Source organism: Homo sapiens, chromosome 2 (assembly GCF_000001405.40).
Source record: "Homo sapiens chromosome 2, GRCh38.p14 Primary Assembly".
Lineage (NCBI taxonomy): Eukaryota > Metazoa > Chordata > Mammalia > Primates > Hominidae > Homo > Homo sapiens.
In genome coordinates this window covers 112,718,022-112,743,187 of record NC_000002.12, presented here as the reverse complement: position 1 = coordinate 112,743,187, position 25,166 = coordinate 112,718,022, and the positions used below count along the sequence as shown (strand labels likewise).

The 25,166-nt window shown below is 48.6% G+C and overlaps 2 protein-coding genes across 36 annotated transcripts in view, besides 2 other annotated features; one reads left to right on the top strand and one right to left on the bottom strand.

Annotated features, from left to right (window-relative positions):
- The window catches only part of CKAP2L (cytoskeleton associated protein 2 like), a 28,261-nt gene extending 21,422 nt beyond the window's left edge, over positions 1–6,839 (top strand). For all 4 annotated transcript variants that reach the window (NR_130712.2, XM_011510666.3, NM_001304361.2 and 1 more), the window contains 3 exons: positions 419–482; positions 2,181–2,370; positions 4,140–6,839. Coding sequence is in view for 3 of the 4 variants with exons in the window: in XM_011510666.3 (XP_011508968.1) it covers positions 419–482; positions 2,181–2,370; positions 4,140–4,365 (480 nt within the window). In the remaining variant the exon portion in view is untranslated. The remainder of the gene's footprint in view (positions 1–418; positions 483–2,180; positions 2,371–4,139) is intronic.
- NT5DC4 (5'-nucleotidase domain containing 4) lies at positions 309–24,312 on the bottom strand. 32 transcript variants are annotated; one of them, XR_002959269.2, is made up of 17 exons: positions 21,297–21,699; positions 21,085–21,202; positions 20,910–21,005; positions 20,599–20,705; positions 20,417–20,474; positions 20,014–20,107; positions 19,720–19,770; positions 19,386–19,469; positions 19,062–19,094; positions 18,282–18,407; positions 17,948–18,014; positions 17,636–17,806; positions 16,899–16,950; positions 16,450–16,510; positions 15,212–15,389; positions 13,484–13,561; positions 309–776 (listed from the first exon to the last, which is right to left on the bottom strand). XR_002959269.2 is itself a non-coding variant. In NM_001350494.2 (17 exons), exons 1-17 carry the CDS (start codon positions 21,649–21,651, stop codon positions 738–740), a joined length of 1,287 nt encoding a protein of 428 aa, NP_001337423.1. In that variant the 5' UTR covers positions 21,652–21,702; the 3' UTR covers positions 309–737. The 32 variants fall into 32 exon arrangements, 22 of the variants coding, with proteins under 22 accessions (NP_001337423.1, XP_024308570.1, XP_016860964.1 ...); NM_001350494.2 differs by lacking the exon at positions 15,212–15,389 and having other exon boundaries at positions 18,300–18,407; positions 20,599–20,690; positions 21,297–21,370; positions 21,641–21,702; XM_017005477.2 differs by lacking the exons at positions 309–776; positions 15,212–15,389 and adding exons at positions 2,342–2,668; positions 24,005–24,312 and having other exon boundaries at positions 21,297–21,370.
- Positions 15,655–16,373: an enhancer, noted in NCBI's record as "H3K4me1 hESC enhancer chr2:113484392-113485110 (GRCh37/hg19 assembly coordinates)". NCBI's record gives its function as "activates a minimal SCP1, AML or CMV promoter by ChIP-STARR-seq in primed H9 embryonic stem cells {active_cell/tissue: H9 hESC(primed)}" and the evidence as "EXISTENCE:reporter gene assay evidence [ECO:0000049][PMID:30033119]".
- Positions 16,374–17,093: an enhancer, noted in NCBI's record as "H3K4me1 hESC enhancer chr2:113483672-113484391 (GRCh37/hg19 assembly coordinates)". NCBI's record gives its function as "activates a minimal SCP1, AML or CMV promoter by ChIP-STARR-seq in primed H9 embryonic stem cells {active_cell/tissue: H9 hESC(primed)}" and the evidence as "EXISTENCE:reporter gene assay evidence [ECO:0000049][PMID:30033119]".
- Positions 24,313–25,166: the final 854 nt, after the last annotated feature.

Genomic DNA, 25,166 nt, shown 5'->3' with positions numbered 1-25,166 from the left:
CTGGGACAGAGTAAGACTCTGTCTCAAGAAAATATATCTATATCTATATATAAAATGCATTTTCTGTGTGGCTAGCTTTACATCATTGGGCCAGAATTTTTATGTAGGAATACATATTTGACAGTATTATACAAATCAATAGGAAAATAGAATTTGATGTAGACAAATTACATTATGGACAACTTTAAATACATCTGTTCATTAAGTCGAGTGTGCCAACACTTAATCAGAATTTTCTCTGTTCCTTTACTTTTCTCATGAAGCTATAAAACTGTCAAGCTAGACAAAAGATTTATAGTTAGACGAGATTTTAAAAGGAAACTTTTATTATAAAACATGTATTTGAAGTTAAAGTTCCTTAGCAAATTTTTTGCATGAATGTTTTTAAGATTTTGTATGTTTTCTTCCTTCCTTCCAGCCAATACAAGAGTTGCGGAAAGTTGTTCTTAATATCTTGCAAGACTCAAACAGAACCACAGAAGGTACTATTATTTTTGAATTTAAATTCATCTTCTCTAGCTGTACCAGTAAAAATCATCCAGGACATATAGGAAAAAGAAGAAAAGAATCATCCCCTGAAATGCTTCTCACTTCTTGGTTTCCATGACCTGGCCCTTTCAGCCATTGTCATCAGCTGACTTATTTGTATTATTACAAGTAAATGCACTACTCAATACTGAACAAAGGTTGTTTCCACCAAAACAGCCTAGACTGGAGTGTCCCACTTCCTTGGAATCCTAGATGGCAGAAGACAAACAGCTCTTTGCTGGAAGAGACTGAGGCAGAAAGGAGAAATGCCTTAAGTTACATGTTTAATCATAATAAACCCACCAACATACTCATCTAAATTTGTGTTACGCTTTAAAAATAGCTATCTCAGGAATCTCTTCAATTGGATGACCATCACTGTCAGTGGTCATAACCTTTAGAAGACTCTTCTATGAGACATATATTGTGCCAAACACGAGTGACATTATAATTGCTTACGATACTTGTTATATGAATGGAAAGAAAAAACAAGCTATCTTTAGAAAATAAATTGGATTCTTCTTGTTATCTTAAAAGGTGACAAATCTTTTTCCTTTAATAGTAGATTTAGGCTGCATACGGTAGCTCACGCCTGTAATCCCGGCACTTTGGGAGGCCAAGGCAGGTGGATCACCTGAGGTCAGGAGTTTGAGACCAGCCTGACCAACGTGGTGAAACCCTGTCTTGTCTTTAAAAAAAAAAAAAAAAAAAAAAAAAAACAGAAAAGAAAAATTAGCCAGTTGTGGTGGTGCGTGCTTGTAATCCCAGATACTCAGGAGGCTGAGGCAGGAGAATCGTTTGAACCCAGAAAGTGGAATTTGGAGTGAATGAAGATCACGCCACTGCACTCCAGCCTGGACAACAAGAGCGAAACTCCATCTCAAAAAAAAAGAGTAGATTTAACTGGGGAACAATCAAGTCATGTAGCTAAGTAACCCACTACATGTGGTAAGAAGGACATAAAATAGATAATAGTAGATTCTTTGAGAATGAGGCTACAATTCAGTTATTTGGTTAAAACATGGTAGTGTTTTAAAAGGAATAAAAAGAGAAGACAGGAATCCATGCCTTTGTTGCACCCTATTGACCTCACTTAGGGTGTCAGCCTCTAGCCACAGTGTGCCTGGCACAGTCTGATTTCCTTCCTTTCATTTTGGTGATTGTGTTTGGGCTACCATGAAAACTATTAATGCAAGACAGTTTTTGCCCACTGTCCAAGGCAGTAACCATGTGGTCATCCTGGGGAGGAATGGGATTGGGAGGTTGTGTGAGTTAACCTTAGTGAGTCAAGAAAATTGATCCAAGGTGTGGTGTAAGGGTAGAAGGCCAGTGATTAGTCCCTAAGAGAGCTCTCTTGAGAGTGAATAGGAGACTGGAGATATGTTCAGAGTCTTGAAAGGGTGTCAAGAATCTACGTACAGCAGTCTCGGGGGCTGGCTACGAGGGTAGCCTGATGTAGCAAGACACTGCTACAGAGCTTAACGTGAAAAAACAAGTTATAAGTCACACTTCAAATCAATCACTATTCAGTATGTGGAGCCCATGAAGATCACTGGGAAATCATTGTATGTATGTATTTTTCATGTTATTGACTTCTAGTTGAAGTATTAAATTGGTAAATCTTACTTTCCTTCATGATCTTACATACACAGGGATTACTTCTGACTCTTTAGTTGCTGAAACTAGTATAACATCAGTGGAAGAGCTGGCCAAGAAGATGGAATCTGTGAAGTCTTGTCTTTCTCCAAAAGAGAGGGAACAAGTCACGGCGACACCCCGAATAGCCAAGGCAGAACAGCATAATTATCCTGGTATCAAATTACAGATTGGTCCAATCCCTAGGTAAGCAAACTCTAAAGCAGACTTTGTGTTCACAGACTTAATTCTAGTCCAAGTCTCGATTTTTCCTTCACAGATCTAGAGTAACTGAGACCTGACCTGCAGTGAGGAAGGTGCTGCCAGAGTCAGGAGGGGTATTAGAATGCATTCACCCCCGTCCTATGGTCTCGCCTACCTTTTCACTCTCATTTGTCCTGCACTTGCAGATCCTATCTGCCTTTCCTGCAAGTCCTGACACAGCTGGGTATGGTTGGGGTGATAAGATGGGGCACAAAGTCCCAAGCGGGAGCAAACTCTGTAGCTGTGGGAGAAAAGGGACAGTGAATACCCCTCTAAGAACGGAGAGCAGTGGAGTATGTACTAGTCAGAGACTGCTCATAAAGTCAGAAACGTTTTATTTTTTAACAAATATAAATTTAAGGCAGAATCCATAGTAATTTAAGGAGCTATGTCAGGGCGTCAGTGTCATTTTCTAAAATGTGAGTGTAGCACCACTCTTCTCTGATCATGATCTGGAAAGAATTCCAAACAAGGGCACCAAGACAACAGTTCTTTGTTTTAGTTACCTGGAAAGCACAGCCGAATCTCTTCCAATCCTAAACTCTCTGACACACACCATTTTCCCACTACAGTCAGCTCATAAGAGGATGAAAACAGTTCAGTTCATAAGTGGATGAACTACAGTCAGCTCATAAGTAGATGAAAACAGTTAATCCAAAAACTACCTCTTAATGGCTCTAGAATTCACAAAACCACTAATTACATTAGCCTAAGGAAAACTAGCAGGCAAGTCTGCCAAGATTGCACCATTGCACTCCAGCCTGGGCAACAAGAGTGAAACTCCATCTCAAAAAAAAAATGAAAAGGCTGGGCACATGGTGGCTCATGCCTGTAATCCTGTCACTTTGGTAGGCCGAGGCAGGAGGATTACTTGAGCCTAGGAGTTCAAGAGTGGCCTGGGCAGCATAGGGAGACCCCAACTCTATGAAAAATAAAAAATTAGCCAGGCATGCTGGCATACGTTTGTGCTCCCACCAGCTTGAAAGGCTGAGGTGGACAGATGCCTTGATCCTAGGAGGTTGAGGCTGTAGTGAGCTGTGATTGCACCACTGGACTCTAGCCTGGGCAACAGAGTGAGACCCTGTCTTTAAAAAGAAAAAGCTAGAAAGAATCTTGGAATTCATTAATTCAACCAAATTTGGTATTAGGCCCCATTTCCTTAAAACTTGTCATCTGTTTTGAAAGTTTATAGAATAAATGAACACCAACTGCCAAATATTTGACTTCAAATAAAAACCACACTTCATACTTCATTCAATAAATCCTTATGCTTACACCATCCAAGAACAGATGGACACCACCCAGTACATTCTGGAAATCAGGGAAAAGCCTTTTTTTTGAGACTGGGGTCTTGCCATGTTGCCCAGACTGGAGTACAATGGCATAATCATAGCTCACTGCAGCCTTGACCTTCTGGGCTCAAGCAGTCCTCCCACTTCACCCTCCTGAGTAGCTGGGATTACAGGTGTGTGCCACCATGCCCAGCTAATTTTTATATTTTTTGGTAAAGATAGTGTGTTGCTATGTTGCCCAGGCTGGTCTCGAACTCCTAGAAAAAGCCATCTGAAGATGAAAGCTGCTCTAGACATATCTCTTGTATCACCCTATGTTAAAATGTCTTCCCTGTTTTATTATTGAATAAGAAACAAAAAATAATAAAGATAATTTTTTTAAATGATAAGGTTTTTAATGCATCTCTTGCTGTCTCTCAGAATAAATGGGATGCCGGAAGTGCAAGACATGAAATTTATCACTCCTGTACGGCGTTCGTCGAGGATTGAGCGAGCAGTGTCCCGCTACCCAGAAATGCTGCAGGAACACGATTTAGTAGTGGCTTCTCTTGATGAACTGTTAGAAGTGGAAGAAACAAAATGTTTTATATTCCGTAGAAATGAGGCGCTGCCTGTAACATTGGGGTTTCAAACCCCTGAATCATAATTTCTTGATGCTTTTTTTAAAAAAGGTGTTTCAGAACCAACATAAGACAAGAAATATTCTTGTCCAAGTGACCTGGAAAAAAAGAGAGGCATCATGGATGCAGATTATGGACGCTCAGGACTTAAGTAATTCACTGGGCTTACTCTCAAATTTTCTCTCCCCATGGGAAAATCTTTGCTTTATGTGTTTAAGACCAGTTTGCCAGTTTTACAGTATACATAAATTTCAAACTTTTGAATATTTACCCTACAACTATGATAAATATTTATACTTTATTGATCTACTTTAATCCCAACATAGTTTTTTATATCAGAAGGTTGGTCCCACAATATAATGGGACTTTTCTTTCTGCATCCACCTTAGCAGAGGGCAAGTTCTTTCATCGTGGAAGATCTGAACTTTGACGCTAGCTTGACAGGCTGAATGGACCTTGACAGATGGCCAAGTCAAAACCCCTCATTTTACAGATGAGTTTATGCTAGCTGTGCCTTTGCTCAGAGATCATAAATTTATGTGTGATCTTTGACTTTCATCACAGTATCCTTGTAAATGAGAGAGAATTCTTGTTTTTTCTATGCCAGGTCTCCTCAGATGAAACACAATCCTGAATTGGCATGGTCGTCTAGCTTTTATATTCAAACCTAGTTTTGCATTTGTTACTCAGAAACACTTCAAGTAACAAAAGGGGGGCAGGGGAGAGGGGTGGGGAGTGGACACTTGCTTCTTCAGTTCTTTGCTCAGCTAGGGTATAGCTGGCCTGAGAAGGCAGTGCAAGCCCCAGAGACTGTTGTAGGTTGCTTTTTCTTCCTCCTGGGCAACTATTTGTGGAAAGGTTTTACCTTAGTCATTATGTAAATATAATTGTGTAGAAAAACCTAGTCAACACATTTTAAATTTTAGCTTTCTTAATATTTAAGTATTATCTTAAAACAACATTAAATTTCTATTAGTTCCTGCTTGTTTATCTTATTTATTATAGAAAACCATGATAATGGCTTTGCATAGAGAATTAGGAGTTTGTCTAAGGATATACCAGTTGGCTGTCCTAAGAAACAAGGAGCATTCATTACCAAGGAGAATGGACTTTGATCAAAGGTCTATCAGCCTCATCCAGGAACTAGATTTTTTTAAGGGAAGCAGATCTATTTCTGAAAGTCAGATTTATAATAAAGCTCAAAAAACTGAGCTATAAACCTGTAATACCAGCAGACTTTCAATAAGAGACTCTTACAACTCAATTGTGGAAAAACTAATAATTAAAAATGGGCAAAGGACCTGAGCAGACATTTCTCCAAAGAAGACATAAGAAATGGCCAGTAGGTATAGATATGAAAAGGTGTTCAGCATCATTAATCATAAGAATAATGTAAATTAAAACCACTGTGAGCTATCACCTCACATCTATAAGAATGGCTATTAACAAGACATGAGATAAATGTTGATGAGATTGTGGAGAAAAGAGAACCCTAGTACACTGTTTGTGGGCGTGTAGACTGGGGCAGCCGTTATGGAAAACGGTATGGAGGCTCCTAAAGAAATTAAAAATAGAACTGTTATCTGACCCTCTTCTGAGTAAGTATGTACCCAAAGAAGATGAAATCACCAGCTGGGCGCAGTGACTCACACCTGTAATCCCAGCACTTTGGAGTGGGTGAATCACCTGAGGTCAGGAGTTCAAGACCAGCTTGACCAACATGGTGAAACCCCGTCTCTACTAAAAATACAAAAAGTAGGCGGGCATGGTGACGGGCACCTGTAATCCCAGCTACTTGGGAGGCTGAGGCAGAAGAATCACTTGAACTCGGGAGGTGGAGGTTGCAGTGAGCCAAAATTGCGTCACTGCACTCCAGCCTGGGTTACAGAGCAAGACTCCATCTCAAAAAAAAAAAAGATGAAATCATCACCTCATAAAGATATCTGCACTCACATGTTTGTGGCAGTGTTATTCTCAATAGCCAAGATGTGGAAACAACCTAAATGCCCATCAATGGACAAATAAAGAAAATACGGCATATGCATGCCGTGGAATAGTATTCATCCTTGGAAAAGAGGGAGTTCTTGCCATTTGCCACAACATAGATGGACCTGGAGAACATTATGCTAAGTGAAATAAGCCAGACCCAAGGAAAAATACTGCATGATCTCACATATGGAATATTTAATTTTTTAAGAAAGAGCTCAAGTACACAGAGAAAGTGCTTACCACAGATTGGGGAAGAGGAAATGGGGAGATGCAGGCCAAGGATACAAAATAGCAGATAAAATGAACAAGTCTAGAGATAGGGCTAAAGTTAATACAATTGTATTAGGGATTTTTGTTAAATAAGTAGATTTTAGCTGCTATTATCACAAAAAAACTGAGATGATAATGTTAATCTGCTTCACTATAGCAGCCATTTTATTATCTATATGTATCCCATAACATCATGTTGTAAATCTTAAATATACCTAATAAAATAAAATTGTCACCAAAATGCAAGAATTAGAGTTAACTTTACCTGTGAAGCCAAGTAATGCTCAGAGGGCTGCTTAGAGATCACAAAATCTGAACATAGGACGTAGAGGCATCAAATATTCAAAATCACCAGGCTTAGAGAGTCTGAAGTGAGTCCTGTGTTAGGAATATTCTTGCCTTGAACCTCAGACACTGTCCTAAGCCCGTCGACCAGGTTCTCATGATCGATCCTGCAGTGCCATCCATTGCTTGTGCACTTACTTTTTTTCTGGCTTCTAGAGTGGTCCATCTTTGCTACCTAAATCCCTCCCCTGACCCCAGGCCTAGGAGTCAGTTGTCTCTTTATGGTGGTTTTATGTCTTTCCTCAAAACCATTGTCTTGACATTACAGCTTAGTTCCCAAAAGAGCAGTTTTATTTTCTTTATTGCTAGTTCCTTGCAGGATGTCTCACAGTATTACCCTGGGTACCAACAATAACAGTGTAGGTTGAACTATTGGTGTCTAATAATTATAAGTTTCAAAATGGCACATTGGAGGTTTCGATCAGCCTCGTCAGACTATAGAGTCTTGCAGACACAAAAGGTTGTGGAAATGATTGTGGATGGTACTGCAGCTGCAGAAAACTGCACCCTAATTCTGGGACTCTTTGTAGATACTCAGTAACCCTCTTGTTTAGTAAATAGCTGCTCCTAGACATAGGGAGCAGGAAGGAGGGAGAGTGGGAAGGAAAGAAGGTGGGCCCTTAATGATTTGGGAAGGAGATTCATAGGGAATTGTAGTGGAAATATGGGCCTTTGCAAAAATAAGTCTAATGTTGTTCGGGGATGGCTTTTTAGAGGAGGTGAGTGTAAAGCAAGTTTTAAAGAAAGAAAAAAAGGGGGGGGAGGATTATATATAGCATCTCTGTGCAGAATGACCATGAACCAGAAGACAGAGGAGAGGCATGATGGTTCACATTTGTTAGTGCTCACTATGCCAGGCACTCGGCTGAGTCTTTTACATACTATAAAATACTGTTCCTGAGGCTGGGCATGGTGGCTCATGCCTGTAATCCCAGCACTTTGGGAAGTCGAGGCGGGTGGATCATTTGATGTCGGGAGTTTGAGACCAGCCTGGCCAACATGGCAAAACCCTGTCTCTACTAAAAATACAGGCGTTATCCAGGCGTGGGGGTACGCACCTGTAATCCCAGCTACTCAGGAGGCTGAGGCAGGAGAACTGCTTGAACCTGGGAGGCAGAGGTTGCAGTGAGCCAAGATCATGCCACTGCATCCCAGCCTGGGTGACAGAGCAAGACTCAGTCTCAAAAAAAAAAAAAAAAAAAAAAATGTTCTTGCCTCCCTGGCATGTACTCCCTTTTCCAATAAAAGCACCCCAGACTGGGTGCGGTGGCTCACGCCTATAATCCCAGCACTTTGGGAGGCCGAGGTGAGCAGATCACTTGAGGCCAAGAGTTCAAGACCAGCCTGGCCAACGTAGTGAAACCCTGTCTCTACTAAAAATACAAAAATTAGCCAGATGTGGTAGAGTGTGCCTGTAGTCCCAGCTACTTGGGAGGCTGAGGCAGGAGGATCACTTGAACCCGGGAAACAAAGGGTGCAGTGAACTGAGATCACACCACTGCATTCCAGCCTAGGCGACGGAGCAAGACTCTGTCTCACAAAAAAAGCACCCCAATTTCCCTACTACCACCCATTTCCTGCTGACAATCTACATGGTTAAGAAGAATGGACTCAACCCCAGTATGCGCATGTGACCCAGTCCTGGCAAAGCCAAACTTGGCATCTCCCTGGCCAGTGGCATTGATTGGAGGATGGGATAGTGTCACAACCAGTGAGGCATCATTTCCCAGACTTTCATTAGAAAGATGCTTCCTGGTAGAGTTGCTGAAAAGATAAAGATAGAAATCTGGAGTTTGGGAACAGCCATCTTATAACCTCATGGACAAAACCTGCCAGAGAATAGTACCAACATGGAATAAACTTGAGAGTTGGAGAGAGCAAGCTATGTCCAATGACATTGATTTGACTCCCTGGTTAATGCTATGCCTGGAGCTGGGCTAACCCTGGACTTTTTAGTTATATGAACCAATAAATTCTGTTTTTTCTCAAACCAGTTTCATTAGGTTTCCTTCAGTTGCTAAAGAAAAAATCCTGACTAATGTACACACACACACACACACACACACACACACACATATATATAATAGCATAGAAAACACTTATTTAGTGCTTACTCTGGCCAAGCTCCATGTCCGTTATCTCACTATATCCTTATAATAGCTTTATGACATGGTTATGGAAATAGAGTAGTTAATAAATGTCAGTCCTGCAATTTCAAAGTCAGGGCTGTCTGGCTCCAGGTTCAGAACTTTTAACTCCTATCTCTATTTAAAGTAAGGAAATGAGGACTAAGGTGATGATAAGGAAACACATCTGAGCAAGATAAATTATTGAACTGTTCCCAGTTTACCAAGCAGGAATCACTGTGACAGCCAAAGTACTGTCATTTATTCTACAAATAAATGATCACATTTTTACCACTAGTTCACTACCACAGAGATGCTGCTTCTGTTCTCTTCATTTCCTGACTGCTCAAGACGATGCCAGAATGAGGATGTCAGTTCAGCTGCTGTCACTAGTCCCAAATGGAAATGCATCTCTCTCACATCAGCCATCCAAGTGACAGCCCAATGCTAATCTACTGCCAAGCCCAGCCTATGTCTGTCTTGTGACTCCACCATCCCTTGGAGGCAGCCTCGTCCATGTGGCCAAAGAAGGCTCCCACCCAACTTCACTCTCCAGCCAGCTGGAAGGGGGAAGAGAGGAACGGGAAGGTATGCCCCTCCTGAGGTCACGGATTGGAAGTTGGACCATTACTTCTGTCCAGAATTTAGGGGCCAGAACTTGGTCCCATGTCCCCCCCTCCCACCCCATCTAAAGAAGCAGGGAAATGTGTATCAGATGGCCACATGCCCAGCTAAAAATTCTTCCAGAAATGGGAGATGAATGTCAGTGTCTGCACACAGTCTTGGAAGCAATGGTGTGCTTCTGTCCCTAAGGTATAGATAAAACAGGAGTGTAGAGGTGACATTAAGTTTAAAAAAAAAAAAAAACTACCCAAATAGAAGTATCTGTCCTACCTCCTACCCATGAGGTAGGACAGATACAGAATTAGGAGTTTGTCTAAGGATATGAGTTTTCTCATGAATGTGTCTGGGTAGGAGGTAGCATTCTAATCCAAAGCCCTATATCCTTTCTCCACTTTCTTTTTTCTCATATTCTTTGTCCTGCCCTTTCCCTGCAGTTCTACAAGAGTAATAATAAACTGGGTGACATGTGTCTTTCAATAAAATACACAGGTACGTAGATGCCAGAGACACAACGGTGAGCCAAAAGGACATTACCTTTTGGAGCTGAGAGTCTAGTGAGGACACGTGTTAATCTAGGAACCACAAATGCAAGACTCCAAGTCCTGAGAAATAGAGGCCTATGAGCGAGGGACTAAAGAGAAACTGGTCTAGTCAGGGATCTTCGCTGAGGGGAGAGCGGAGGTAACAGGGAGAAGAGGCAGGGAATGGGCCAGACATAGGAAAAGCACAAGAAAGGCCCTTTGGCCACCTCTCTCCTTTCCCTCGCTAGGATCCCCTAAAGCATTTCTGCCAGATTGTTTATCCCTCAGTCCTTTTCTGTATCCTCTCTACCCTGGGTAGGAATTCTGAGATTTGACTTTTGTAGTGTTAGCTACCACACTATATTTCAGGACCTTTCCGGAAAAGTATGGGCTCTAGGGTCTGAGCAGTTTTTCTGATAAATACTATCCTTTAGCTCTTGACTAAGAATCAAGCGTTTAAAGACACAGGCCAGTGAGACCTGGGATTTACTGGAGAACCTGCCCCTGTAAAGACACAGGCCAGTGAGACCTGGGATTTACTGGAGAACCTGCCCCTGTAAAGACACAGGCCAGTGAGACCTGGGATTTACTGGAGAACCTGCCCCTGTAAAGACACAGGCCAGTGAGACCTGGGATTTACTGGAGAACCTGCCCCTGCAGGCTCTGGGACCTGAAAGTCAAACCAGGGAAAGGAAGAAAAGGCCTTGGCAGTGTCAAACCTGGAAGCTTCTGAAATGCAAAGAAGATGTTTTAAAAAAAAAAATGCCAGGCTCGGTGGCTCTCGCCTGTAATCCCTACACGTTAAGAGGCCGAGGCAGGCGGATCACTTGAGGTCAGGAATTTGAGACCAGCCTGGCCAACATGGTGAAACCCTGTCTCTACTAAAAATACAAAAATTAGCCAGGTGTGGTGGAGTATGCCTGTAATCCCAACTACTCGGAGGTTGAGGCAGAAGAATTGCTTGAACCCAGGAGGTGGAGCCGAGATCGTGCCACTGCACTGCAGCCTGGGTGACAGAATGAGACTCTGTCTCAAAAAAAAAAAAAAAAAAAAAAAGTAAACTCTCTGATTCCATGGCCCGTTGTCCCTTATTTATCCTCAGGTATCTAAGTGTTGCCATTGTTTATCCACAGAAAATGAAGCTAATGAAGTGTGTCCTCAGACCTGTTCCTTCAAGGGTTTACTTTGTCATTTCAAACATGCAGATTCAACCTAGGTCTCCACAGAATGCCAGATGATACCACTAACAGACAAAAAGTAAACTGTAGGAGTAAACTGAAATCAGTGACATCAGAGCAATGATGCTTCAGCACTTTAATACCACAGAGAAGCTTCTAACACATTCGAGAGTCAAGTTTTAAAATCATGAGTATGACTTTTTATGTGTTTTAATGTGTATACACAAACTCAAAGACATTTGGGCTATCTCATTTAACATCTTTCGTAGTGACCCAGAATGAAAGAGCAGTTAGTGAGGCAATATATAGCCAATCAGGTTTTACTGTTCTTACTAGTAACAGAATCAGAAGTGCACAGAAATAACTATTTTTTAAAAGAAATGTTTAGAAATAAAATTGGATATGAGACATCATGCGTTCAAGAGAAGTAGGTAAAATAATTTCACTTGTGCACACGTTTCCAAACGTCTCAAAGACCATTGAGGATGCCTTCTAGGTTAAGAGCAATACTGCCTCCTCCCTAAAAGAAGTGTTTGCAGGCTCCAAATCTGCTGCATTTAGGAGATTTCAATACAGTTGCTTTTTCCTTTTTCCATACTTGTGTTATCTGAAAAATATCTCAAGTAGAAGATGGCCCGTGATGCCAGCCCATGTCCAGGATTCCGTCAGCCTCGATGTAACTTTCCTGATCCTCGTTTCTCTCTTTGCCCTAACCCTTATAAGAAACACAGAAAGTGACTATGGATATTTTCTTCCCAAGCTCACACAGTGACGCCCAACCAGGGGTAGATAATGTGTCAAAATGCCCTAGGCTGGATCCTGATGGGGTGAGGATATAGAGGGATCAAACCACAGGCTTCCCCAGCAAGCCTCTGTTACTGACAGGAGTGTGTCCATCTCTCTGCTGGGCTAGGATAGAAAAACAGTTGCCAACCACTGATTAAAGCCTGTGAATGCACTTGAATTTTGAGCTTCTCCTAGGCAGGAATGAAGTAACTTACACTTTATTTTCTAAACTGCCCGGCACACAGGAGGTGCTCAGTAAATACTGGTTGAAAGAACAAACACTGTGCCTGGTACAACCCAGCTAAAGGGGACCTATGGGATACACATCTTTTAAAGTGAGCCCCCAGAAAGCCAAGGGAGAAAGAGGAACATTTATGCAGGGTTTTGGGGGTGCAGAACCCAACGAGGAATCCAGGCATCCACTCCTGTCTCAGCTCAGACGCGGGTCAAGCCTCACAAAGTGTCAAAGGGATCTGAAGCTAGAGCCACTAGTCATTAATGTTAACAAAGCCTGTCTGGGGAGGAAGCCTCAATGTGGAAGAGGGCACATCCTGCAACTTCCCCTGGAGGGAATAATGTGTATGGATTGGCCAACAGCAGTCCGTAGGGGTGCAGGGCCCAACAGTGCACAAAGCACTGCTGAGCAGAACCTGTCGCCCTTTTGGATCCAACTGTCGCTTTTTTTTTTTTTTTTTTTTTGAGACAGTCTTTCCCTGTTGCCCAGGTTGGAGTGCAGTGGTGCAATCTCAGCTCACCGCAACCTCCGCCTCCTGGGTTCAAGTGATTCTCCTGCCTCAGCCTCCCGGGTAGCTGGGACTAGAGGCTTCCACCACCATGCCCAGCTAATTTTTGTATTTTTAATAGAGACGGGTTTTCACCATGTTGGCCAGGCTGGTCTCGACCTCCTGCCCTCAGGTGATCCACTTGCCTCAGCCTCCCAAAGTGCTGGGATTACAGGTGTGAAACACCACACCTGGCTCCAATATCCCATTTTAAAAACAAATATTTAGCTTCTACTTTTCCATCCTGAATTGAAATTCATCGATACAATTATCATCTCTATAATTTAAAGTATCAAGATAATACTCTAACAAAGGAGAAATAAAGAGAAAAGCATTTTACAATAAAATAATACGCATTTTTACATAAATAATGAGGAATGACTATGCTTGCAGACAAAAACAAGCCCACAAGCCCCCCCACCAATTGCCTCATGCGTCCTGGGGTTGATACAACCCCACTGGGAACCACTACTCTAGCCCATGGGACCCCAAGCCACAGAGTTCGTCGGCCACAGCCACTCACCCTCTGGTTGCAGGAGAGGAGGCAGGAGGCAGGGTCTAGATTGGCCTGTTCTTGCTCCACAACTGACTCATGTGGCATCTGTAGGGATAAATGCAGGTGGAGGTGAAGCACTCCGTCCCGGGTACGGCCTTCCAGGATTCCTCAGCTATGCACAGGCTCCCCTGCCCACAGCTGCCAACTTCCTGCCCAACGATGTTGCTGCAGAGGAAGGAACCTCGGAAGGTCAGCAGGGGCAGGAAGGTTCTGGCAGCTGGACTTCACTTCCTCAAAAATCCCAGGCCAAGGCCAGGCGCGGTGGCTCACGCCTGTAATCCCAGCACTTTGGGAGGCCGAGGCAGGCGGATCACTTGAGCCCAGGGGTTCAAGACCAGCCTGGGCAACATGGTGAAACCCTGTCTCTATAAAAACATAAAAATTAGCTGGGCATGGTAGTGCATGCCTGTAATCCCAGCTACTTGGGAGGCTGAGGCACAAGAATTGCTTGAACCCGGGAGGTGGAGGTTGCATTGAGCAGAGATTGCACCACTGCACTCCAGCCTGGGCAGCAGAGCTAGACTTGGCCAAAAAAAAAATCCCAAGCCAGGAAGATTGGCAAGGTCAAATTTCTTTAAGTGTTTCGCCTTGTCACTTTTGGGGATGGGGGGTTGGTGTGTTCTTCACCTGTCTGGTCTCTACTTTAACAATAATATCTACCAGCACAGAGGGCTATGCCTGGACCCCCAGCTTTGCCCACAGGAGCGGTCTGGGCCAGCCCATCTAAGAGTCCAGAGATGAGATGAGGCCGCCCGGTGAAAGCCAGTTCCCCCATGTGTGTGGCAGCACAGTGCAGGAGACACAGTGTGACCCCTGGAGCTTGACAGGCTCACATCCCAGCTGTGTGGTCCACTAGCTGTGTGATGGCAAGTCACTTAGATTCTCTGTGCTTCCTCATCAATGATAAAATGAGGAAGATAAAACCTACTTTGCTGAGTTATATTGAGCATTAAGCATAATCGATGAAAAGCACCCAGCCCAGTGCAGGAAACACAGCAGACACTCAATAAATGGTTTTCCCCTCTCAAACGTCTGGAAGGCAGCCAAGGGCAGCAGGGAAGGCAGGCGACAGGGAGCCTCAGAGGTCTAGCTTCAAGTTCAGATCCTAAACTGCAAGCTCTACGTCTTATCAAATGGAAATGATGATGCCAACTTGGGAGGACTGACACGTGCAGGTTCCAGGGAAGCCCTGAGCTGGCCAGTCCCATGACTCCTACTAACCCTTGCCCAGTGCCATCGTAGCCACCTCTACCACCCTGTTTTTAACCCAGAAGCATCCTCCGGTCTCCCAGAGGAAAACCAGCCAGAGTGTTTACTGTATCATCTGCTGCCTCCTCCACCCCTTCGGAAGCCACTGTATGTTTACTGAGGGTAGGAGGACTGTGCCTTCCTCCTTGCAACTGATATCCTTTCTACCAAGGAAATGACGAGATAGTGTGGTCTCAATCTAAAGCAGGAGTTAAGGTTGGGCATGAGGAAGAACATCCCTGCCGAGGCATCTTATCTGTATAAACCTAACTCTTCCCATGCGTCTGTTAAGACACAGACAGTTATCTGCAAGACTGTGATCCCACTGAGTCTGAAGGTGGGAGATTAGGGCTGGTGACCTTGCAAGCTCCTAGCAAGGCTGGGGACCAGTGGGTCCTTCTAGGATAAATGTTCACAAACAGCCGTGGAGATTCCGCAGGGACCCACCAACTCCGGGGCCGCCCGAGAGAGCTGAGCTCACTCGGAAGTACAGGAGGTCGAGGCAGGCGGCAGTGTAGAGGTCGGCATAGCGCATCAGCTGGCTGGAGAAGAGTGTCTGGCGGAAACCGCAGCGGAACAAGCTGCCCATGGTGCTGTAGCACAGGTCCAGCTCCTGGGTGACCCTCTGGCCAGAGGGGCAACACACTGAATTGAAATCCCAGCCCGCTTAGGCCTGACCTGGCCTACTCCCTTTCTGGGCAACCCTGGCCTCTCTGGGCCTCTCACCGGGGGACATTGAAACCTGTGACTCTCTGTAGGAAGGAGCAGCATGTTGTAGACCCACAGGCTGCACACTTGGCTTTTGGAGGTGGGGCAGCTCCTCACTTTGCCACAGGCCCCGCTGCAGCTTTCCATCACAGTTACCTGCCTGGCCCTGAAGATGGACCACCCAGGACTAAACCCACAGCTTCATTTACCATCTGAGTCCAACAGAGGACTTGGCAAGGCGACACCCCCAGCCTCGCTCCTACTATCCTGGCAGGCCCCACCCCGCCACCAGGCCCTGTTTCCTGTCTGCTTTTAGAGCCTAGAGAATGGTTCCAACATTTACTCCCAGGATGACCTCTCTCTGAGCCTCAGTTTCCTCATCTGTAAAATAAAGGTGACAATCCCTGCTCCATCCACCTCTTAAGGCTGTGGGGAAGATCAAACGGCTGTGCTTTGTAAAAGGCTCTGCAAAGACCCTTTGTGATCGGCCCCAGCTGGGCTTGGGATGACCAAGTGACCTGACTCCCTCCACCTGGCTGACCCATGGGCACCTCCAGCTTTTTGGTGGCCGGTCAGTAATGCCACAAGGGAACACTGTCTTTTCTTCTCTTTTCCAAGGACCCTGGGCTCACTGGCCCTAAATCACATTTCCTATCAGAACTGGCTAGTCAGTCAATAAGGGCCCAGCTAGCACGCAGGCACTTCCCGGGCAGGGTGATTGGCAAAGACTGTGGGACTGGAGGCAAAGCCTGCAAATCAGGCTCAACTCAGCCCTTCAAGAGGGTACCGCTGCCCTTTGGAATGTCGGCCAGCAGAGGGCGCTGGCTGACAAGGCAGGTGGAGCCCAGGCGAGGCTGAGGAGAATGGGGTAACTGGGCCTTTGGCACCGAGGACAAAGCCGACAGGCAAGCAGTGGGGAAGTGAACCCGGCTCCGCCCCTGCTGGGCCTGTCCCTTCCCTCGCCACCCAGCTCCCACCTGGATCTCTCTCTTGGTGAAGTTGATGACTTGCAGCTCACAACTGCTCCCATCCATGTGCCTGGTACAAAAATAGCTAGGTGACCCAGGGGAGGCACAGAGCCTCCGAGTGCCAGGACAGTCTCCTTAGACCCCAGCAGGGGTCGGGTGGGGGGACACCGTGCGGGCATCCAGTGGGGGTGCCGGGCTGGGTGTGTGCATGCGTGCGAGGGCAGGTCCCTGAGTGCTGGATAGGTTCAGAGGAAGGGCCTAGAGGTCACAGAGTGTGAGCAGTCCCAAGGGGGTGAGAGGGGTCCCCACATTCAGTTTGCTAGGGAAGCCCAGCCTGAAACAGATCTTGATGTTCTGACAACCTTGGCCGGGACCTCGCCGCCAGGCAGGGATGTGAGCCACTGCCCCTCCATACCTCTCCCTGCCCCATCCCACCCCCAGAAAGGCCAGGGTCTCACTGGTATATGTCTGCCAGGTGCGTGTCCAGTCTCTTCAGCTCCTCCAACCGCTCTGAAAAGCCACCAGGGGTCAGTGGGGGTGAGTGACGGCCTGTGTCACCCACTGGCCCTGCCTGCCTGTGTCTGCCCTGGCCCAGCGGAGGACTTGCACACCCTGAGCTGTGTGCATAACACCCCTGGCCCCTTACATCACGTGAGACTCTGCCCAGACTGAGGCAGGGACAGCATAGGCCCCGTAGGCCCCATGGGACAGGTGAGGGAGTCAGGTGACCTTCCTGAGGTCACACGGCAATGACTCAAACCTAAAGCCTCAGCTCTCAGGACAAAGCCCAAATTGTGTGGGCTCACACAACTCCCTGCCCTGGAGGATGACTTCAAGTCATACCTGGGTGGAAGGTGTGTACCTTCCACTCACTGAACATCCTTGGGGTGGGTGGGGAGGGTGGGGTCAGGTGCAGGAGGAAGGCACCGCCTGCAGAAACACCACGGGATTCTTGGGTCAGGAGAAGTGGATTTGACTCTCAGCTTTCCCCCTACTGGCTGTGTGACTTCGGGCAGGCCGCTTAGCCTCTCTGGGTCTGTATGTCTTTGTCTGTTTCCTCCCTCAGAAACAACAGAGTGGCCAGGATTCCTGGTCACAACTACTAACCCCCCACGGGAAAAAGGAGAAGGCAGTGCTGGGGCCTCTGCATGGGAGGCCAGTGCCCCTCTGACTGTTCCAGACCCCAACAGCTCACCCTTCTCCTGGGCCCAGATGTCCAGCTCCCAGGACAGCTCAGGAACCACCAGGCAAGTCCGCCAGCCCTGACGCTTCTTGGACTTGAGAATGTCCCCAAAAATGTGGTCCCCAATGTACAGGATGTCCATCCCCCGAACCCCAAGCAGCTCGCACACCATGTCCGAAGAGCCTGCCCCACCAAGGGGAGGACAGACACTCGTTTGCCCTTCCTGCCTTGGGGTAGGTGACTCGGGGCAGGTGAGGGGCCTGGGCTCCTAGTCGAGGGAAGGAGGGTGCCCAAGGAGTGATGGGGCATGGTGGGAGCTGGTACCTCCAGAGTAGACAGCACAGTGCTGGTGGGGCCCTGTGTAGGTGCCCACGTGGAGCTTTCCTGAGTCCTGGAGGGGCAGAGGGGTGCCCTGGAGCCAGGAGAACCACATCTTTGGTCTCTAGCTAGGGAGGGTCGCAGGGAGCTGGGAGTGGCAGAGGTAACCATGGGGGGTGTGGGAGGAAGGAGGCAGCAGAGGGCGCTGAAGGCGGCCTCGGGTTCCCTGCCTCCAGGGACAGACAGGCCAGCAGAGCTGCCAGCTATAAAGGCAGGTCAAGTCTAAGGGGCAGGCAGGCTGCCCTCCCCAACCGTGGTCCATGGGTGCAGGTGGACTGACCTCTGCACCTGCCATTACCGTGTTGACCTGCCTCAGGACCAACCCCTCTGCAAAGAAGTGGGGCTTCTGCGTGTCCACCACGATCAGGTCAAAGTAGGACCTCCAGGGCCTGCCCGAGGCTTCAGCCTGTTGGGGGTGCACACGGGCTGCACACACACAGCCTGGTAAATCTGACCTTGCCACAGCCAGTCACCCACCACAGCCTGCCTCTCCCCACCAACCTCCCAGCTGGATGAGACCTCTTCAGCCCCTGGGAACCCGGTCTCGCTGCCCAGCTTCCCCAGCCAAGCTGGGCACTAGGAAGTGCTCAAAAGGACCTTGTGGAGGTGGGTGTTGAACATCATGTGCAGCCTCAGGCCAGGCTCCAGAGCTCCTCACAGCACAGAGACCCAGGGACAGGTGGCACCAGCACGGCTACCTAGTTAGGGCCCTGCTGCCTGCCCAGTGACACCTGGTCACTCCCAGTGCCCAGGACCTGTCACTCCCAGCACCCCTCCCTTTGACCTGCCATGCCCTCGTCTCACCCACTTTCTGCCGCCCGTCCCCACATACCTGACTGCCTCCTATCACCCCCAAAGGCTCCTCCCAGGGCCTGGCTGAGGTCACCAGGCTCCTACCCACTGGGGAGCTTCCACTCATGAGAAATGACCACTCACACACTCAGGTCTTCCTCAAAGGGAGGCTGGACGTGGGAGAGGCCCTCAGCATCGTGGTGCAGCCTGGCACCCTGGCCCTTTGCACAGCCCACCCCAGCCGTGCACGCAACACTCCAACACTCACCTCACTGATGCTGAACAGGTAGGTCATGATGGCCTGGCAAGGACAAGGCAGCGTCAGGGCACCAAGCTTGGGCCACCACCTGCCTCTGCCCTCACCCACCATCCCCCCAGCACACTGGTGGCCACAGGAGCAAGATGGTGAGAAAGTTGCTCATTCTTCTGAGGCCTTGAAAGGCCAAGAAATGGAGTCCAGGAGACCAGCCCAGTGGTGGGGGTAGGAGGGTCTTGGCTCCCCGCCCCACCCCTCCCTGTTGCTTGCAGTGCCACTGTGTCCCCTGGGGCCAGGAAGGAGGCCGACGGTCCACCCCTCCATACACATACTCACATTGGTGTAGTTGTAGCTGCTGTTGGTGGCCAGAAACACTTTCCCAACCTCCTTCATCTTCCCCAGCAGGATGGGGAGGCGTGGCTGGGGCAGAGATAGAGGGACTTGCAGGGGTGGGACTCCCAGAGCTGCCCTGGGATCCTCTCCTCAGGTTTCAGCCTTCTGGGAGCCCACCCCAGCCCAGGCAGGTAGGCACCAGGCCCCATAGAAAGATCCCCAGCCATCCGGGGAGCAGAGCTCAGCCTAAACCTCGAAGAAAGCCAGAGAAGGGTTGCGGGGGCAGCCCTGCTGCTTTGGGGGTGATGGCCATGGCCCTGGGTCTGTGGCCACTCACATCCTTCTTCACATATTTCTCCAAGTCCTCCAGGGTCTTCTTGAGACAGCCCTGCAGGAGGGAGCAAAGTGCCTGTGTGTGTGTGTGTGTGTGTGTGTGTGTGTGTGCATGTGTACCCACCCACATGTCTGTGTCCAAGATGAGAAAAGTGGGCGGCTCTGGGAAGCCCAGACCAGACCTCAGTCCTCAGTAGGAAGAGGATGGAAACGCTATGGGGACTGGAGGCCTGAAGGCTGCCCGGGGAACCAAGAGCAGACAGGTCAGGGGTCCGGGGGTTCTGGACCACTCACTCACCGACTGGTGGATGTTATTCATGGCATCAGTCACATCCTGGAAGAGGCTTCGGAAGGACATGAAGAGGTTCCCATGCTGATAGCCGGTGTCACAACTGGGGCAGGCAAAGAGGGGACGGGGAGGCCAATAAGGGGGCCTGAAATGACCTCCAACCCTGAGTCCCACACCAGAGCAACCCCACCAGCCACACTGGGGCCTTCACTGGGCTTATGTCCCAGACATCCTGGGAGGGGCATCACCCAGAGCTAAGGGTGTGTGCTAGCCTGCAATAGAGGCCTTCCCACTGAGCTTCCTGGAGCCCTTCCAGCCTCTTGGGGAGCCCTTGGGGGGCCCCTCTTTGGGGTTTGGTCCCTGAGCAGTGTCCTACTGGTCGTCCCAGGGCTGGGCAGGGCACAAGACGCACTTAGTGTAACGGGAGCAGCCAGAGAAGAAGTCCACCAAGCAGGCATAGAGGTAGGTTTCTGGGGGCAGACAGGATGGTCAGTTGTCAGCCCAGGGAGCCAGACAGTTCTCCACCAGGACAGAGCTGGGACCCTCAGCTCCGGAACTCAGGACCACCTCCCGTGCCCCCAACCCTCCACCCACCAGGCAGGTTGAAGAGCATGTTGAGTATGTAGAAACACTGCAGGTCGTCCCTCTGAATGAACTTGCTGGGGTAGAAGCTCCAGATCTCTGCCCTGAGGAGGGGTAGGCTGGGTGCAGCCAATGACCCCTCCCCAGTGCCTCCTGGAGGCCTGTCCAGGCTCTGGCCATCCCTTCCAACCACCACGCATCCCTTCTGTGCTGAGCCTCCACCGTGGGCCTGCGTCCTTCCTCCCTCCCTCCCTCTGTCCTCCCCCAAGGTGAGCAGTCCTCCCCTCCTGGCCTGCCACTCTCCCGGCACCTTTGTCCCTTACTCCGAGAGGAAGGTGAAGCCATAGGCACCCAGCAGCACATTCCCGTGGGCGTCCACCTTCAGCAGGTTCCCATAGAGTTCATCGAACACCAGCCGCCTGCAGACGGGGGGTCGGGGGGCACTGTGGGTGGGGGTACCAAGGCCGGGTGGCCTCCCACCTGTCCTGAGCCACACACCTGGTGGGGAAGGTGGGGTCGTAGGTGTAGCGCAGGATCTCATGCGGGTACCCAATGCACACCAGGCGCTCCAGCAGCAGCTCGAAGGTCAGGGCCTCATAAGCTGGGGACTTGTAGGCTGCAGAGGCCCGGACAGAATCAGGGCTTTGGTGCCCAGCTGCCCACCCCTGCTCCCTCCAGCTCCCAATACGCTGTGTTCCAGCCCTCTCTACCAGCCAGAGTGTAGTCCATGTCGAAGCCAAAGCAACGAATCTTCCCCAGCGCCAGGCTGCGGTTGACAAAAATCCTGGGGAGAGAGAGGAGGATGTTGGCATCAGTCCACCAGCCCCCCAGAATCCAAGGCCCAAGGACAGAGGGGGTGGAAACCCCGCAGAGGAGGGCAGAGCACCCCCTGCAGCTGCAGAAAGCACAGGGGAAGCAGGTCAGGCCAAGCCAGGGCCCTGCCTGGACCCATGTGTGTCTGAAGGCAAGTGTGAGTGTGCATGTAAGCATGTGTGAGCATGTGTGCAAGCGTGCATCTGAGTGTGTGCGGGCAATCAGCCGCTTGCTGTCCCACCATGCAGGCATGTTATAGGCATCCAACCCTGTAAGAAAGTAGGTGCAGTTGTTGGTGTGAGGGTTGTCACCTTCTGAAATGGGACCCCAGTGTCCAAATTCAGAGATGATGTGTTTGTCACAATTGGATAGCACATGTCACTGTGTCCGTGGTGAAGGGGAGAGATCTTCGTGGAGGGAAGGAAGTGAAGAGGACCTCCCGCCGGAGTGTGTGTGGTCAGTTCCCTGATGGGTTGTTACAGCTATGGAAGTGCGTCCCTTGTGAGTGCAAGTGTACGTCTGCATTTTGGGAGTCCCCATAGCTGTGTATTTAAAGGAGCCCCTGTGTGCTGCTGTGGCGTGTGGGGTGTTTATGGGCTGAGACCCCTGGCCCCCACCCCAGGTGCCCATCTCACCGCTGGTGCCAGTCCTGCTTCGGGCCTTGAGGGGAGACCAGTCCCTCCGGCTCTCTCCAGTCTACACTGGCCATCGTCACCCAGAGTGAGGAGGAGGCAAGTGTCCCTTCCTCAGCCTCCTGCACACTATCAGTGGGGCCCAGCCACTCTCCTCTCCCTCAGAAGCTTCAGGCACCACTGACCCAGCTGGCCCCACCCTGTGCTCCCATCTCCCCCGAGCCCCTTTGAGGGAGGAGTCAGCCAGGACAGGCTCTGGTATCCCATCCTTTTCTCTAGAGCAAAAGCAGCAAGGATCTAGGAAGAGCAATTCATGTCCACTGCACCCTCCTCATTCCTAGGGCTTATGCATCCATGGACCTCAGCGGCCTGGAGAGTAGCGGAGAACCCAGAATGAGGCAAATGACGGGATACAAAGTCAGGAGGCTCCGTACTGTACTCATGATAAAAGAAATAACTCAGTACTCTTGCTTTATGCACAATTCTGACACATTTGGTTATCAAATTTCCCAGCTCAAGGCCATTTAGAGAAGACATTGCTAGAAGCATGCCAAGGGCTATAAGAATTGGGAAGATAACTGGGATCTCAGAATGGGGGGGTGGCAGAAAGTACAAAAGGAAGTGTCAAAAAGCAGAACCACTGGGGCCATTTAGTGTAGAGTTCTAAATACTCCCTGAGGGCCCATACCACTGGCTCCACAACCAAGCATGTGACTTCCATTTGGAGCGGTGACCTGGATCATCCAGAAAGACTTAACTGAAGTGCCAGGCCCTCTTTTAAAAAGAAAGACAAGGCTGGGCACAGTGGCTCACGCCTGTAATCCCAGCACTTTGGGAGGCCAAGGTGGGTGGATACGTGGTCAGGAGATCAAGACCAGCCTGGCCAAGATGGTGAAACCCTGTCTCTACTAAAAATACGAAGAAAAAAAAAATTGCCCTCTTGGGAGCCTGAGGCAGGAGAAAAAAAAAATTAGCCTCTTGGCAGCTTCTCGGGAGGCTGAGGCAGGAGAATTGCTTGAACCCAGGGGTTGGAGGTTGCAATGAGCCGAGATTGCTGCACTCCAGGCTGGGCAACAGAGTGAGATCCTGTCAATAAAAAGGGAAAGAAAAAGGAAGAAAGAAGGAAGGAAGGAAGGAAGGAAGGGAAAAGAAAAGAAAAGAAAAGAAAAAGAAAGAAAGAAAGAAAGAAAGAAAGAAAGAAAGAAAGAAAGAAAGAAAGAAAGAAAGAAAGAGAAAGAAAGAAAGAAAGAAAAAGAAAGAAAGAAAGGAAAGAAAGAAAGAGAAAGAAAGGAGGGAGGGAGGGAGGGAGGGAGGGAAGGAAGGAAGGAAGGGAAAGGAAAGGAAATGAAGAAAAGGAAAGGAAGAAAGAAAAGGGCCTGGCGCAGTGGCTCACACCTGTAATCCCAGCACTTTGGGAGGCCAAGGCGGGCAGATCACTAGGTCGGGAGTTTGAGACAAGCCTGGCCAGCACGGTGAAACCCCATCTCTACTAACAATACCAAGATTAACCAGGCATGGTTGCGCATGCCTGTAATCCCAGCTACTCAGGAGGCTGAGGTGGGAGAACCACTTGAACCCAGAAAGCAGAGGTTGCAGTCATCCAAGATCGTGCCACTGCACTCCAGCCTGGGCAACACAGCAAGACTCCGTCTCAAAAAAAAAAAAAAAAAAAAAAGACAGACAAGTTTACAGTCGGTTTCAGCACTTTCTCTCTAAAATGGCTAAACTAAACTAAATGAAGGTGGCACTCTTAAAAGGATAAAAGTTATCTGGAACAACAACAGAAAAACATATCCATGGAAGAGCTCCTTCCTTGACAAAGCCAGGTGAGCAAGCACAGTTGTGTGCTGCGGAACGATGTTCCGCCCAACAGTGGACTGCGTATGCCACTGAGTCCCATAAGGTGATAAGGAGCTCAACAACTCCTATGGCTTAGTGACCTCATCGCCATCATAATGCAAAGCATCACTCACATGTTTGTGGTGATGCTGGCTAGGAGAAATAGGCTGTACCCTGCAGCCGAGGTGTGTAGTAGGCTGTACCATCTAGGTTTGTGTAAGTGCACTCTATGACATCACACAATGGTGAAATCGACTAATGACACGTTTTTCAGAACAGATCCCTGTGGTCAAGCCCCGCATGACTGTATTAAGATGGTGAGGCAAGGATATGGAGGCTGTAGGATATGTGTTTCCTCATCGGATGGAGGAATGGAGGATGGATGGAGAGATGGGTGGATGCATGAATGAGTGAATGGACAGACAGTTGGATGGGTAGATTCGTGGATAGACGGGCTGATGGTTAGCAGGCTATATACAGCAGCCTTCACGGAAGGTGTCAGGGGAGAACTGAGCTTCAGAAATCAGGAGGCTGTCTGGAGTCGCTTCCACTCATTATTCCATGCGCTCTGCTCATCTCATGGGAGCCCTTTAAGCCCCTTTTCCACATTGCCTGGCTCCTTTCTAGGTCAGAAAAGAGAAGGAGGAGTAATACCTGGTTAGGAGAAGTCTCTAGGGGTTGCTCAGCCCTTCCACTGGGAGGCATCATGGCAGCTGTACAAAACCTGCCTTTCCTATAGCTGAACTTAGGCTCTATCTTGAAGGCTCTGTGCACCTGAGGGTGGTGAAGCCATCCAGCAACGTTCAGGTACGATGAATCACTTCAGTGGTTTCTCGGGTCCCTTCTCCAGGTACCTCTTCTGGGGTCAACTCGACAGTGTGGGACTTATCCGCAGCCACACTGGTAATTGGGAAGGGCTTCACTTCCTGGAGGGTCCCAGGTCCTCACATTGCTGTCTGTTAAGGTAGCCACATCCCTGTTGAGTCTTTGGCTGGCATGGTCTCTGCTACCGTCTTAGGATATGGCTGCTTGTCCAGACCACAGAGTCCTTAGGCTAACCGCATGTACAGTCAGGGAGGACTGCAGGCTGCCACAGGCCCCGCTTGGTCCTGATTCCTGAGCCAATGCTAAGGCACCCCTGTGAGGCTTGATGCACTGGGAGCCCCTTCAAGAAAAGACTTGCCACCATAACAATAAGCAAATGGTTGCCCATTTTTACTGTGTGCCAAGCCTCCTAACAGCCCCACGAGACAGGCTAACTGTTCACTGGATTCATGAATGATCAAACTGAGGCAC

What these genes read in the sequence shown, in the direction of transcription:
- NT5DC4 (XM_024452799.2), bottom strand. Translation starts at nt 21,651, where the DNA reads ATGCCTGCATGGTGGGACAGCAAGCGGCTGATTGCCCGCACACACTCA. An exon ending in ACCTGTTCAGCATCAGTGAG is followed by an intron (nt 18,408 to 19,061) that starts GTGAGTGTTGGA and finishes CACCCCCAACAG; the next exon opens with GCTGAAGCCTCGGGCAGGCC. An exon ending in CACCTGGCAGACATATACCA is followed by an intron (nt 16,511 to 16,898) that starts GTGAGACCCTGG and finishes TTTTTGTACCAG; the next exon opens with GCACATGGATGGGAGCAGTT.